At 36.2% G+C, this 15,864-nt stretch overlaps 1 protein-coding gene across 12 annotated transcripts in view; it reads left to right on the top strand.

Annotated features, from left to right (window-relative positions):
- ANKRD17 (ankyrin repeat domain 17) overlaps nt 1–14,635 on the top strand; it is a 185,423-nt gene extending 170,788 nt beyond the window's left edge. For 11 of the 12 annotated variants that reach the window (XM_005265671.5, NM_198889.3, NM_015574.2 and 8 more), the window contains 5 exons: nt 2,565–2,762; nt 9,121–9,369; nt 10,478–10,656; nt 10,907–11,071; nt 11,721–14,635. In XM_005265671.5, coding sequence (XP_005265728.1) covers nt 2,565–2,762; nt 9,121–9,369; nt 10,478–10,656; nt 10,907–11,071; nt 11,721–11,780 — 851 coding nt within the window. In that variant the 3' untranslated portion in view covers nt 11,781–14,635. The remainder of the gene's footprint in view (nt 1–2,564; nt 2,763–9,120; nt 9,370–10,477; nt 10,657–10,906; nt 11,072–11,720) is intronic. The other variant, XM_047450038.1, reaches the window with a different exon arrangement.
- The last annotated feature ends 1,229 nt before the right edge of the window (nt 14,636–15,864 follow it).

Genomic DNA, 15,864 nt, shown 5'->3' with positions numbered 1-15,864 from the left:
CCCTCACTCCCCTCCCTTCCTCTCTCCCCTTTTCCTTCTTCCCTCCTTTTTTTTCCTCTCTTTTGCTGCTTCCTTTTCTTCCCCCTCTCTTGTCTTGTCTTACCTGTCTCTCCCCTTCTTCATCCTTCTTTCCTCCTTTTCCCCCTTTCTATCCTATCTCTATTTTCTTTTCTTCCCCATCTTTTGTCAAATCATGAGAAGATAACTTTCAAACATGATACTTTACCCCTAAATACTTTGATATGGATCTTCACAATGTTTGCCTTCACAGCTATGCCACTATTACTGCACCCAATAAAATGAGGATGAATTTGATAATAACACCCAACATAAAATGCCATTTTCCCAAATATATTCTTTCTGACTATGTGTGTCTCTTTTCCTTGCCATTTGATCCAAGACTCAATCAAGATTCACACATTACTTTTGGTTGTTATGTGTCTTTGGTCTCCCTCTGTCTAAAGTATTCTACTGCCTTCCTCTGTAATTCTTGACATTGACTCTGTGGGCAAGTTTAATTCAGTGATTATGTCAATCCATGATTAGATTCAGATCAAATATTTCAGGAAGGAGCATCATATAGGTGATGTTTTGAACCTCACACTGCATTTTATCAATGACAGATTGGCTGGATGTGGTGGCTCACACTTGTAATCCCAACACTTTGGGAGACTGAGACAAGAGGCTCATTTGAGGCCAGAAATTTAAGACCTGCCTGGGCAACATTGTGAGACCTTGCCTCTACAAAAATAAATAAAAAAGCTGGGTGTGGTGGCATGTACCTGTAATCCCACCTACTTGGGAGGCTGAGGCAGGAGGATCACTTGAGCCCAGTAGATGGAGGCTGGGGTGAGCTATGAGCAACAGAGCAATCTCCTGTCTCCTTAAAAAAAAAGAAAAAATGATAAATTGTTCCAGTATTGGCTGTGGAAAGCATGGCCGTGTGGTTAGTATGTAATTATCAGATCTCTTCATTGTAGAATTGTATCTACAGCCCTTTTTTGCCCTGTAGTTTTATACAACTCTTTGGTCCTTAAACCTATTTAAAATCCTACAGATATATATATATATATATATATATATATATATATTTTTTTTTTTTTTTTTTTTTTTGAGATGGAGTCTCACTCGGACGCCCAGGCTGGAGTGCAGTGGCACAATCTAGGCTCACTGCAACCTCCGCCTCCCAGGTTCAAGCATAAAATCCAATATTGACATGTGTTCTATAAAAGCTAATAAAAGGTAAAACAAAAATATAGCTAGGTGTAATGGTGAACACCTGTAGCCCCAGATACTCAGGAGGCTGAGGCAAGAGGGTTGCTTGAGCCCAAGAGTTTGTGGCTACCGTGAGCTATGATCACATGCCACTGCATTCCACCCTGAGCAACAGAGAAAGCTGTCTCCTAAATTAAAAAAAAAAATCGTTGACAATTATTTTCTTTCTTTTTTTTCTGTATTTTTAACCCGTTAGACTAAAATCAGATAGGTTACTTGTGTAATAGTTTAGTGTGTAAACATTTGTAATACTTTTTTAATGAACATATTTCAAAAACAAATGTGTACCTGTAAGAGAGAAAAAGAAGAGGAAGAGTAAATGTTTTATCTTTATCCCTAAAAATAAACATTTAAAAAAAAATGTTATCTAAAAATCCCTAAAGGTAAACGTTTATTCTTCCTCTTCTTTTTCTCTCTCACAAATACACATACATTCGTTTTTGAAATAGGAACATCTGGAAGTTTCACTTTCTGTTTTATATATGGTTTTTGGTTTTGGATTTTTTAAATAAGTTTGCATTAATTTTATGATCAATAAAGGCAACAAAAGTCCACTTTGACAGAAAGCCCATGTAAAGGAAAACTAATGATCCTTTTTAACTAAAACATTAATGCCCACTAGTGCTGAAAGTACTAAAATCAAGAATTAAATTTGTTCCCAGTAAATTATAATTTGAATTTAAGAGTATAATGTGATAATTGTTTCTTTTATAATTATCTACATAGTTTAGTTTTTTGTGTGTGTGAGACAGGGTCTCACTCTGTCACTCAGGCTGGCATGCAGTGGTGCCATCACAGCTCATTGCAGCCTTAACCTCCTGGGCTCAAGCAATCCTCCCACCTCAGCCTCCCAAGTAACTGGAACTACAAACACGCACCACCAAACTTGGCTAATTTTTTTTTTTTTTTAATTTTTTGTAGAGGCAGTCTATCCTGGCCTTGAACTCTGGGTTCAAGCAGTCCTCTCACTTTGGCCCCCCAAAGTGAGATTCATGCCTGGGATTATAGGCATGAACCACCACACCCAGCCAGGAACTTTTTTTTTTTTTTTTTGAGGTGGGGTCTCGATGTGTTGCCCAGACCAGTCTTGAATGCCTGGCCATAAGCAGTCCTCCCACCTTGGCCTCCCAAAGTGCTGGGATTACAGATGTGGGCCACCACTCCCAGCCGGGATTTTTTTAATTATCTAAAATAGTTTTGAATATATTTAGGGCCTTTTAGAATTTTAAGGTATCTCTATTTCTTGCAGGAGTAACTATTATAAATTATGATGACCTTCTACATTATAGGTATTGTCAATATGGACTCGCCATATGGTTCTGTAACACCTTCTTCAACACATTTGGGAAACTTTGCTTCAAACATTTCAGGAGGTCAGATGTACGGACCTGGGGCACCCCTTGGAGGAGCACCCGCAGCTGCTAACTTTAACAGACAACATTTTTCCCCGCTTAGTTTGTTGACTCCGTGTTCATCAGCATCAAATGGTGAGTTTTATACACCGTAATTCCATAAGAATCTGCATATGTTTTCTTAAAAACAGCAGGTTTCAAACCTCATCATAATTTTAATACCATAAAAAGGTAATTTGTACTCTTAGAAGTCTGGAATTTCAAAAAAATTTCTAGGTATTTAAATGATTAGAATCAACCTAGGTTCTATCAAACCTAAAATATTGAAGTTTTTCTAAGAGGGATTTTTATTATTTTTTATTTTTATTAGAGACAGGCTCTCACTGTGTTGCCCTCGCTGGTTTCGTCAAACTCCTGGGCTGAAGCAGTCTTCCTGCCTTCCAAAGAGCTGGGATTACAGGTGTGAGCCACCACACCTGTCCTGAGGGATCATTTTTTGGGGGAAAAAAATTAATCCTTGTACCTGTTATTAATTTATGTTTACTTTTAGTTTTGAGAATACAGGTACCAAGGAGAAAGATTTCTACCCTTGAGTGAAAATTACATCCTTTTAGTCCACCTTTAAATCTCATCTAGGCTGGGCACAGTGGCATACACCTGTAATCCTAGCACTTTGGTAGGCCAAGGCGGGTGGATCACCTGAGGTCAGGAGTTCAAGACCAGCTCGGCCAACATGGCAAAACCCTGCCTCTACTAAAAATACAAAAATTAGCCAGGCGTTGTGGTGTGCACCTGTGATCCCAGCTACTTGGGAGGCTGAGGCAGGAGAATTGCTTGAACCCAGGAGGCGGAGGTTGCAGTGAGCCGAGATCACACCACTGCACTCCAGCCTGGGCAACAGAGCAAGACTTCATCTCAAAAAAAAAAAAAAATCTCATCTGCATTAACAACACAACAGATTTCACATTATCACATGTGTTTTTTAACTACAGGCAGACTTTTGAAGCAGTGATTAGATTTTCTTTCTTTCTTTTTTTTATTTGAAATGGAGTCTCACTCTGTCACCCAGGCTGTAGTGCAATGGCTCAAGCGATTCTCCCACCTCAGCCTCCTGAATAAATGGGACTACAGGCATGTGCTACCACACCTGGCTAATTTTTGTATTTTTAGTAGAGACAGTTTCACTACATTGGCCAGGCTGGTCTCAAACTCCTGATCTCATGATCTGCCCACCTCGGCTTCCCAAACTGCTGGGATTACAGGTGTGAGCCACCAGGCCTAGATTTTCAAACTAATGAAGATCAGTCAGCAATAGAGAATTCAACTCAACTAAGAGAATTCTGTAGTAAGGTTGGATATGTTTGTTTTCCAGGTAAAGATGTGAAATTGCTTATCCCTTAAGGAAGTTATAGTAAGACTTCGGTTTTTTTTTTTTTGTTTTGTTTTTTTTTTTAACTATCAAATTTCTTCTAACTAGCAATACTGGAATAAATAACAGTTAACCTAATTAACTTAATGAAAGAGTAAAGAGTTATAATTATTTTAGAGATACATGTCAGAGTACATTGCCAGTTAAAGCATGAGGTAAATTGTAGCCTGCAATGAATTTATATATTCATAGTTTTTCTTGTGTTTGTCAAATAGTGGCAGTCATATAGAATATTAATTATCCTTGCACAGCTCCCAAAGTGCTGGAATTACAGGCGTGTACCACCACACCACCCAGGTTAGGTTTTTTAATACATGCTTTTGAATATAGTGCTATATTGTAAATACAGAGTATCATTGAGGGCATTACAATTGCTTTTATTGTTGCCACATTCCAGTAACTATTTTGTTACAAAAAATTTCAGACCCATAGAAAAGTTAAAGAATAGTTCAAGGAATATCCATATTTCCTTCGCCTAAATTTCCCAATTATTTTGTTATATTTATTTTCTCTCTCTACTGTTTTGCTGAACCATTTGTAAATAAGGTGCAGATATGACACTTCAGACCTAAAAACATGCATCACTTAAGAATAAGGATATTTTCTTATGCAACCATGATACCATTGTCAAATACCTAATAGGTTAACATGAATTCAGTAAGAATTAATCAGTCCATATTCAGATATCTTCAATTATTCCAAAACGTTTTTTATAGATGTTTCTTTCTTGAACCAGGAACTACCACTCAAGGCTCACATATTGCATTTGATTATGTCTCTCAGATTTTGTAATTAATAATTTTAAACTTTCAAGAATACCACAAGGATCCCTTGTATATTTTTCCCAGATTCACCAATTAAACTGCATTACTTCCTTTCCTCATCATATATTCCTCTGTGTGTGTGTAAAATTATTTTATTCCTGAACTATTTTACAGTTAGTTGTAGACGTCAAGCCCTTTTGCCCCTAAATAACTTAGTTTCCTAAATATAAGAATGTTCCCTTCAACAACTATGATGCAGTGTTTAAATTCAGCAAACTTTACATTTTATATTATTATCTAATATATGGTGCATATTTACATTTCATCAGTTATCTCAATAACTTTATTATTTTCTCTCATCCAAGATTCTAATTAGGACTGCAAGTTACACTTAATTCCCATATCTCTTTAGTCTCAAATAATCTAGAACTGTTCTCTGAGTCTTTCTTTAACTTTCAAAGAAAGATTCATTTTATGAAGACTACAAGCCAGTTGTTTGCTAGAATGCCTTTTATTTTTATTTCCTACTATTTCTTCCTGATTAAATTCAGGGTATGTTTAATAAACACTGAACTAAACTGTGAGAAATGTGCAGTGTAATTTTACTGTAGGAGCACTTTTTGTTCTTCTCCTTTCTTTTCATGTAATTTTACTGTAGAAGCACTTTTTGTTCTCTCCTCTCTCCTCTCCTTTTCTTCTCACGAGTTCTGTCTCTGTCACCCAGGCTGGAATGCAGCAGTGTGTGACCATAGCTTACTGCAGCCTCAATCAAACTCCTAGGCTCAAGCAGTCCTCTTGCCTCAGCCTCCCAAGTAGCTGGGACTACAGGCACTTGCCATAGCACCCAGCTAATGTTTTTATTTTATTTTTATGTATTTATTTTTTGTAAGATGAGGTCTTACCATGTTGCCCAGACTGGACTTGAACTCCTGATCTCCAGAGATCCTCCCACTTTAGCCTCCCAAAATGCAGAGATGCTGAGATTACAGATGTGAGCCACCACGCTTGGCCCCCCTTTTTTTTTTTTTTTTTTTAAATAAAAAGATAATGTATCTCTCTGTTGCCCAGGCTGGAATGTAGTGGCACAATCTTGGCTCACTGTAACCTCCACCTTCTGGGCTCAAGCAATCTTCCTGCCTCAGCTTCTCAAGTAGCTGGGACTACAGGTGTGCACCACCATGCTTGGCTAATTTGTTAAATTTTTTTTTGTAGAGATGAGGTTTTACCACGTTGCCCAGCCTGATCTCAAACTCCTGGCCTCAAGTGATCTGCCCACCTGGGCCTCCCAAAGTGTTGGGATTGCAGGTGTGAGCCACCACACCCAGTGGCCCCACTTTTTGAATTTGTAAATCACATTGCTCTTTCAATTTTAACTCAGGACTCTGTTATCATTTCTAAACTGTGGTGAAGTTACCGTGGTATCAGTGAAACTTAAATCCTTAGGCCACTTCATTTTATGGGGTACTTCCAAGTGCTGTACATGATTTTTTTATTTGTAATTTTTCATTCTTCTAAAAAAGGTTCCCAAAATTTTGTAAGTTTAAGGCCCCACAAAACCTAGATCTGCCCCATCCTCTGAAACCTGTTTCTCTAATATATAAGCTGATGTTTTTAAATAACATGGCTCTGAATTAAATTTTGCTTTTTTTCTAATTGAAGTAATTATAATAATTAGAGATGTGAAAATTATTTTAGTTAGGTTCTTTTCATGAAAAGGAATATAGGCCCATCCAGGGACTCTCATGGAAAATGATGTTTATATAAGGCTATGCAGAACCATTTTCCAAACCGTCCAGGACTTAGGGATAGCTATTCTCTCTCTCTCTCTCTCTTAGAGGATTTGTGGTCTCTCACTCATGGTCTGTTTCTTGTCAGTTTCTTGCATTCTGCTCTCTTTACACCTAAACTTCTTCATAATCTTACCTTGTATATGCACATCAGTGGTTCAACTTCATAATTAATTAAACCAGTTAACCCTTTAATTCCCCATTCTTTGATGAGGAATGTGATTGGCTCAGCTCATATGTTCAAGTCAGACCATTTCAGTCAGATTACTGACTAGCCTAAAATAAAACTTGGATGGGTGCCTATCCTTAATCCAATAGTTGTGCAGAGAGGGAGCAGAAAACAGGGTCATCTGATAAAAACTATGACTAGAGGGGTGGCAGAATCTGTGCAGAGAGTAAACTTCTTAAATGGCGCAGCTCAGCGGGCAAGCCTAGTAATTCTGTTTATTAAAATAGAATGTGTAGGAGGCTGAGGTGGGAGGATGGCTTGAGGCCAGGAGTTTGAGGCTGCAGTGCACTGTGATTGTGCCTGTGAATAGTCACTGTACTTCAGTGTGGGCATCATAGTGAGACCGTCTCATAAAAAACAAAACAATGTGGAAGGTTGTTGTTATTTTGCTCTACTTTGGTTCTAGAAGGATACAGGAAATAAAAGGGAAACCAGAGTGAACACAGAGGTTAAGGTAGGCTCCCAGGGATGAACCTAGGGGAAAGCAGGATTCATTTGTTTATCCTTCTTTCCTTCCTGCCTGCCTGCCCTGACTATGTCTTGATGTTAGTTGTTCTGGGTTGATTTTTCCTAGAGGTTTAGGTGTGGCCTTTCAATATGTAGGTTTTTAAAAAACAAGCTTTTGTTATTTATCTTTGTGTTTACATTTACATGTCTGTGTATTCCTTGTAGTTTTTGTCTGTTTTCTACTGCATGTATAATTGCAGAATTTGGTTTTATTTGGTCTTTAGCTAAAATATTCTTTTACTTCTAACACTTTCCTGAGTTTTGTCATATTGTTTCCGTTTTACTAATTCTGAATTATGCTGTTCCTTCATATCATTTTCTTTTCGTTCATTTTTGAATTTTAGGTTATAGCTTTTTTTCTGGAGTGCTTTTATTGTCAACAGGAATGCTATAGGTCTTTCTCTTTTATCTTATATAATAGGCTTATTTGGAATTCAACTGCAGTTCTGTTGAATCTGCAGGTAACAGTTTTGATTTTTAAGCTTCAGACTCCTTTATTATTTATACCATTTTAGTTTAAATGTGCTTTAATATTTAAGCTTTTTTGGGAGGGGGAGGGGGGATGGAGTCATCTTGCTCTGTCACCCAGGCTGGAGTGCAGTGACACGATCTCGGCTCACTGCATCCTCCGCCTCCCGGGTTCAAGTGATTCGTCTGCCTCAGCCTCCTGAGTAGCTGGGACTACAGGCGCGTGCCACCACGCCCGGCTAATTTTTGTATTTTTAGTAGAGACAGGGTATCACCATATTGGCCCCTCGAACTCCTGATCCCATGATCCGCCCGCCTTGGCCTCCCAAAGTGCTGTGATTACAGGTGTGTGCCACCGCGCCCGGCCAATATTTAAGCTTTTCACATAAAATATAATTTTGGTTATTTTTGTTTTTTCTCAATAATGTATAGAGATTGAATCACTAATGAATAGTCTCAAATCAAGAAATCCACCTTGTTTGCATAAGTAAAAAAGATTCTCATTACCAAAAGCATGTTCTGTGAAGTACTCACAAGATAAAATAAAACAGACTTAGGCAATGATCCTCTTATTGGTATTTTATCAGTATATATAATGTTCTATAAACTTCAGTTCTAATTTGAAGAAACTTTTTTTTTTTAAACTGGACATGATGGCTCATCCCAGTAGTCCCAGCTGTTCAGGAGGTTGGGGTGGGAGGATCGCTTGAGCCCAAGAGTTTGAGGCTGCAGTGAGTTATGATCGAGCCTCTGCACTCTAGCCTGGACAATGGAGCAAGACTCTGTCTCCAAAAATACATAAATAAAATAAATAAAAAATGAATAAATAACAAAGAAACGTATTTCTTTTTCCTAGGCTAGGTTTTCCAAATTTATTAGATAGCTGAATCTCTTTTTCATCATAACACAAAGAGCAAGTATTCCCAGGGAATACAGTTTGGAGATTGCCACTACAGGCAGTGATTCTTACCCATCTCCATTCTGTTGTTGTTGGTTTGTTTTTTAATTTAAATGTCTTATTGCTTGCTACATTTTACTTAATGTCAAGGGTTAATTCATTTGAATATTATTTAATTTAATGGTTTATTACCTTTGTAGTTGAACATTTTGCAGCATTGACATCATATTCTACCTTGAAGTCATGGAACTTTAGCCAAATTTTAATATGCATCATTTTTAAGTATTATTTTTACACTTTGTTTTTCTGAGAATATATATTTAAAACATCTCCTGGTTTTAAGATTTGGTTTTATAAAATTACATGTTCTATAGATGACCTGTATTTTATTTCAAAATATCTCTTCTCTAGATTCTTCTGCACAGTCAGTATCCTCGGGAGTTCGTGCACCATCTCCTGCCCCATCATCAGTACCGTTAGGGTCAGAAAAGCCCAGCAATGTGTCTCAGGACAGGAAAGTTCCAGTCCCTATTGGGACTGAACGTTCTGCACGTATCAGGCAAACTGGAACGTCAGCTCCATCTGTTATTGGGAGCAATTTGTCTACATCAGTAGGACATAGTGGCATCTGGTCCTTTGAAGGGATTGGTGGCAATCAAGGTAGGATATTCTGTCCTGCTCTCTAGAAATTAACTTAATGCATTTAACTATAATGTAAACAGTATTTAACTTTAATAGTCATTTCCTTTTTTTTTTTCTTTTTTTGAGATGGAGTTTCACTTGTTGCTCAGGCTGGAGTGCAATGGGGTGATCTTGGTTCACTGCAACCTCCACCTCCCCGGTTCAAGCGATTCTCCTGCCACAGCCTCCCAAGTAGCTGGGATTACAGGCATGCGCCACCATGCCCAGCTAATTTTTTTTTTTTGAGACGGAGTCTCGCTCTGTAACCCAGGCCGGACTGCAGCGGCACAATCTCTGCTCACTGCAAGCTCCGCCTCCCGGGTTCATGCCATTCTCCTGCCTCATCCTCCCAAGTAGCTGAGACTACAGGCGCCCGCCACCACGCCCGGCTAATTTTTGTATTTTTAGTAGAGACGGGGTTTCACCGTGTTAGCCAGGATGGTCACGATCTCCTGACCTTGTGATCCGCCCGCCTCGGTCTCCCAAAGTGCTGGGATTACAGGCGTGAGCCACTGTGCCCCGCCTGTATTTTTAGTAGAGACAGGGTTTCACCATGTTGATCAGGCTGGTATCAAACTCCTGACTTCAAGTGACTCACCCACCTCAGCCTCCCAAAGTGCTGGCATTACAGGCATGAGCCACCACGCCCAGCCTCGTAGTCATTTCTAAAAGATCTGTATTCCTATTTTTTTTGTTATGTGAATATTTAATCACTTCTTTATGAGCTCTGTCCCCATGTGACCTTTCTCATTACATGTATTTATTACTGCTTTCAGAAAATATCTAATGCAAGCATGTTCTTTTCTTCCTTTCATCATATTAAGGACATAATAATATTTCCTTTCAGTCCCTTTAGGTTGTACTTAGGTTTTTTTCTTTTGTTTTATAACACCAAGTTTTTAGATTATTTCATTAAGCTATTATGTCACTACTTACAAACCATGGAAATATTGCTGTAAATATATAAAAGTAGGTCATTATATTGAAATAATTTACGGTTCAATGTGGAAAATATTAGAAAAACAAAATATTTGATTTTGATTTTAAATATTATCTATTTTTGTTTTGCCTCTTTGTTTGCCCTCAGACAAAGTAGACTGGTGTAACCCTGGGATGGGAAATCCTATGATCCACAGACCGATGTCTGACCCAGGAGTATTTTCACAACATCAAGCAATGGAGCGAGATAGTACAGGAATTGTAACTCCTTCTGGTACATTCCATCAGCATGTTCCTGCAGGCTACATGGACTTTCCTAAAGTTGGGGTAAAGTCCTGATTTTGTACTAGTTATTTAAGGGAGGATTTTCTGAGAAAATGTTTTGAATATAGTAGGCATATGTATAATCTAATGTTAAAATAAGTTATATAATGGGTAATAATTTTTAGATTTCTTAGATAAGTTACACATTCCCAGGATGAGGTGAACTTTCAAATATCAATTTTAAGGCTATTGATTATATTGGGAAAAATGAACAATGACTTGGATGTTAATGTGTGTGTTTTCCTTTTTTAAGGGTATGCCTTTTTCTGTGTATGGGAATGCAATGATTCCTCCAGTAGCACCTATCCCTGATGGTGCTGGAGGACCCATATTTAATGGCCCTCATGCTGCAGACCCTTCTTGGAACTCACTGATAAAGATGGTTTCCAGCTCCACGGAAAATAATGGCCCTCAAACGGTGAGGCTGATCATTCAGTGAATAAACAGTTGTTTTGTGTTTAAGAAATGCAAAGACAAATAGGATTCAGGTAACTCATGATAGCAAGAGAGTTTGGTGAATATGGGCAGTTGAGGAAATCTAATATAGCTGCAATATAGCAGAGGGCTGTGGGCAGTGGTACCAAAGGCAGGTTTGGGGCTAAAATTATGAAAGGTATTGTATATTCTACTGGGTAGCAGATAATAAATGAAAGATTTTAAGTTGCAAAGTGACTGTCATATGATTTTATACATTAAAGTTTACTAGTGGTGTGAAAAGACCATCTAAAGGTTATTTATTAAAGGTACTATAAATAACTCTGAGAATTCACATAAATGGTTGTATATTTTAGTTTAGTGTATGTTTAATATCTTTGATTTATTTTTCTTCCACAACCGTGAATCTATAAATGCTCAGGTAATGATTTTTTTTTTAAAGGTTGTAAATCAGATTCTGTTTGAGGGATAAGAGGTAGGAAAATAATAGAAAAAAGGTTTTTATCATTTTTTTCCATTAGTTCCTAGTATATTGCAAATTGAAGAGTACCTCCTTAGTTTTTTAAAAGTTTTATTTTAATAAAATATATGCTAGATATATATTTTGTAAAATGCATGCTCTATATTCATAGGTGTGGACTGGACCCTGGGCACCTCACATGAACAGTGTGCATATGAACCAGCTTGGCTGATGAGGATCAGCTTGTTAGCCTGCAGATTCCTTTTCATTTGGAGGAAATCACAAGTGGCCGAAAAAAAAAATTATGCTCCCAAATCATTCTACTGATGTGCTTGACTGAAGTGTGTAGGCTTTTTGCAGAAGATCTTACTAACTGACCTATTTTCTGTGAACATTTGTGACTGCCCATTCCCCATCATCATCCGTTTTACCTTAGTTAGCATTTTTCTTATCATTTTTCTTTTTTTCTTTCCCTCTTCCCCTTTGGACATAACTTTCTGTTGAAGCTGTTCTTTGGCTGGTTGGTTTTAGTACTGTAAACTGCTTCTGAGCAAACACGGAAATTTAGCAAAATTATGTAAACTTGATCCTGAAGTTTTAGAATGGCAAATAAATGTACAATTGTTTACATAACAGAAAAGGCTAAGCAGAAAGTAAATTTCAATATGTCAGTATAGAGGCTCTACTTTATGTAGACTTAAATTAATGTGAGATATGTACCTTCATATTCAGAAATCTGGATGTTTCCTTCATACATTAAACTATTAATAAGCATAACTTTTCTACTGGTGTAATTTAAGTATAAAGTAAAATAATGGGCATTATCATTGGATGTTTCCCCACATTGGCTTTTAAAATACCCATCTTGCTTTCTTTTTGGTTTATTTGTAGCAAGGCACATATAGAAGAAGAAATTTCTGGCTTTTCCATGTTGTTTTATTACCTTTTCTCACTTTTAAAACTAATACAGACTTATCTCCTCACTCCTTTTTCTCTCCTTACCTTTACCACTAATACCAGTAAAATTATCTTTCTGATAGTGAAAAGGTTCTGTCAAGATTTTCACTGTAATGGCTGCTACAGAGATGGACCATCTTCATCATCACCAGTGGTTTCTTCTAATTATAAAATGTTTAAACTTTCTGAGAATTTAAAAAGCCACCACTGTTCCCAGTCAGCATATACAAGCTCTTAATATTCTGTTTATTAAATAATTCAATGTACTATTTTATATTGGATGATATTGATTCTTAACATTGGCTTTTCAGTCATCAACAGTCAACATAAAAATTTCAATTTTCAGTAATTTAGTGGAAAATATCTTATTTCTTTTTTCAATTTTAAAGGCTTCCTGCTTTTTTACCCTTGTATATTATCAGTGAAAAGGATCAACAGTTAATTTGAGCCAAGTAATAAAAGAAATTCTGCATTTGTCACGAAGACAATTTATGGTAGACAGATAAATACACAGATTACAGTGTAAAGTCTCCATTTAACCTGTTTATAAAAGATACAAGGCCACACTAAACTACTCAGTGGGATTTATATATTCCATCCACTTGAAACAATAAACAGTAATGTATCCAAGAAGATTATGTGTCCTACCCTGTCTCATGGAAAAATTAATTATATGGTTGAAATGTAAAAGAAAGTAAGCATAAAAATCGAGTAATGTATATATCAATTTGTCTTCTTTTTTTTTAATTAGACATAAAATTTCACACTGGTAAAACATAAAAACTAACTAAAATTCATATAAATCACCTAGAGTTGATGATATTAACATGGTTCCTTGGTTGTCAAGTAAATCAAATGATTTCTTCCATCTGAGTAAAGAGTAAAGCCTGAGTAAAGAGTAAAAAGATGACTTCTCAAACATATCCAGAAATTTGTAAACAGTACACTCATATCTTTTAGTTTAAGAAGTGGTCTTAAAATATATAAATTTGTTTTTCCACCTATGTTTAATATGCCCAAATTTAAAGGGAGAGCTAAAAGACAGCCTACAAATAAATATAGCTATGAAATAAAATTATAGCACTTTACTAAAAAAGGGATGTAATAATGTTATTTAACGAAGTATTTTATATATGACTTGCCACTATTCTATACATAAAATTTTTTTTCTTAATTCTTTCCTGTGTTAACTAGGGTTATTTTCTATTTAAGGTAATCCTGCTGGAGAACAGATGCTATCCAATATTTATTACAACACATGAGTTGTGTTGTTTCACAATACTGAATTTCTTAGGTGAGGTATTTTATTTAAAAAGGAGGGGGAAAACTCCTATATTTTCTTGACTTCAAACCTGTGGGGCCAGGGGATATAGATTGAAATGCTCCGTATTTAGTCTTGGGGATCAGGCTTGTTTAGTACAATACCATGGTTTTAGAAGTCTGTACTAGGAACATTTTTAAAATACATTTTTTATATTTCAGATGTAATGCAGTGCACTTTTATTTGAACAATAAAAAAACCCATAACTTTTTGAGACCATGAAGGTCTTTTATTTTTTAATTTTGAAAATATGTGGTATGTGTATATGCAGACTACATCATTGTTTTAAGAAATGATTTAACTCTTGGACATTACACTTGGGTTAGTTCACACCTTAAATCCCCAAGTAGTTAATATCTCAATTATTGTATAATCAGTTTATACCATCCATTCCCAACAAAATTCCACATTTCATGCCTTTTCAACATACATTTCAACATAATCAACATATTTACAAACACTGACTTCACTGTTTATAAAGAAGAAATTTCCCCTCCTATTTCCCATTACTGAAAAGTCAAGTCATTTTTATTGATACATGAAAATTAATTTTTTTGTAAATGACTACGTATAGTCATTTTTCTCCTTTGGAAAAGGTAAATAGCTTATTAACTAATCCTGTCTTGTTCTTCACAAAAATAATAGTCCATCCGTGTTTTGACTCAAATAACCTAAATACACATTTTGTAAAAATTTTGTACCCTATATTACTTATTTTTAAAACAGTACAGTGTTAGACTAAACAGGAAAACTCAAAGTTATAAAATCTCTTCAGATCCTCTAGTTTATTAAATCTATTTTCATGTTGATGTTTTTCACAACACTTATTCCCACAGATCTGGCATTACAGAACATTTAAAGTGTACCAAAACATTGTTTTAATAACAGATTTTAAAATCAGGATTATTTCAAAATGATTAAAATAGCAAAGAACAACCAAGTCACTGCTTTTAATCACTATAAGCAGAAATTCAGTATTCCATTCTCAGTATATTTTACTTACGTAAATGAATCTATGCAGATATCTTACACTTTTAATGTTTGCTGTCCTTGACACTAAATTCCGAATGTTCCTTAATGTCTTTGGAAATACATATACTATTGATAAATGCTTGCTTAAGTCACAGCATTTGATTAACTCAGGTGACTGGAATTTAAGATGGGAGCATTATCAGTGCTTTAATAAGTCTTAATGTGTTGCACACCTTGATTGCAAAAATATCACTTGAATTTTGGATAAGTGTAAAAGAAAATGTGCTACTGTGGCTTTGACAGAATACCTTTGTAACGTAACAAAGTACAAACCTAATATCTGTGGTGTAGGAGGTTGCATATTATACTTCTGCTTTTAAATGGATTCACACTTCTGAAAAACAAAAGCCAACTTTGCATTTTCAATGCTTGAAAACCAATAATAAGAAAGATGGCAAGGGGATGTCTTTCAATAAAGAGAAAAAAGCCAATTCTAAATTAGGTAGCTTTGGTTTTGAGAAGTAGTGCCTTAAGTAAGAAAGAAAAACTGAAATCTTAATCTGATTCTAAGGGATCACTAACAATTGCTCATGGAAATAGTTTATTTCTTAAAGGTGTTTTGTTGTTGTTTTATATATACCCTAGTAAGCTACAGTCATTTAGTTTGACAAACATTTCAGAAGGCATATTTGGGAAAAGAGAAGACTAAATGATTACATGATAATTACACCCCATATTCAAATTTTCAGCACTTAATTCAGGCTACTACAACAAAAATACTGTTGACTGAGGAGATTAACAGAATGTGTTTCTCACAGTTCTGAGAGCTACAATGTCTAACGTCAACATGCCAGCCTTTATGGTTTCTGTTGAGGGCCTTTTCTCTGGTTTGCAGATGGCTGTTTCCTTTTCAGTTTCTTTGTGTAGGGCAGAAAAAGGTCATCTTGCTTTTGTCTTTTCCAAGAGACAGGATCTCTGTCACCCAGGCTGGAGTGCAGTGGCATGATCATAGCTCACTACAACCTCAAACTCCTAGGTTCATGTGATCCTCCCCACTCAGCTTCCC

The sequence above is a fragment of the Homo sapiens genome, chromosome 4, assembly GCF_000001405.40.
Source record: "Homo sapiens chromosome 4, GRCh38.p14 Primary Assembly".
Taxonomy (NCBI): Eukaryota; Metazoa; Chordata; class Mammalia; order Primates; family Hominidae; genus Homo; species Homo sapiens.
The sequence above is the reverse complement of the archived record's forward strand: the minus strand, read 5'-3'. Positions and strand labels throughout refer to the sequence as shown.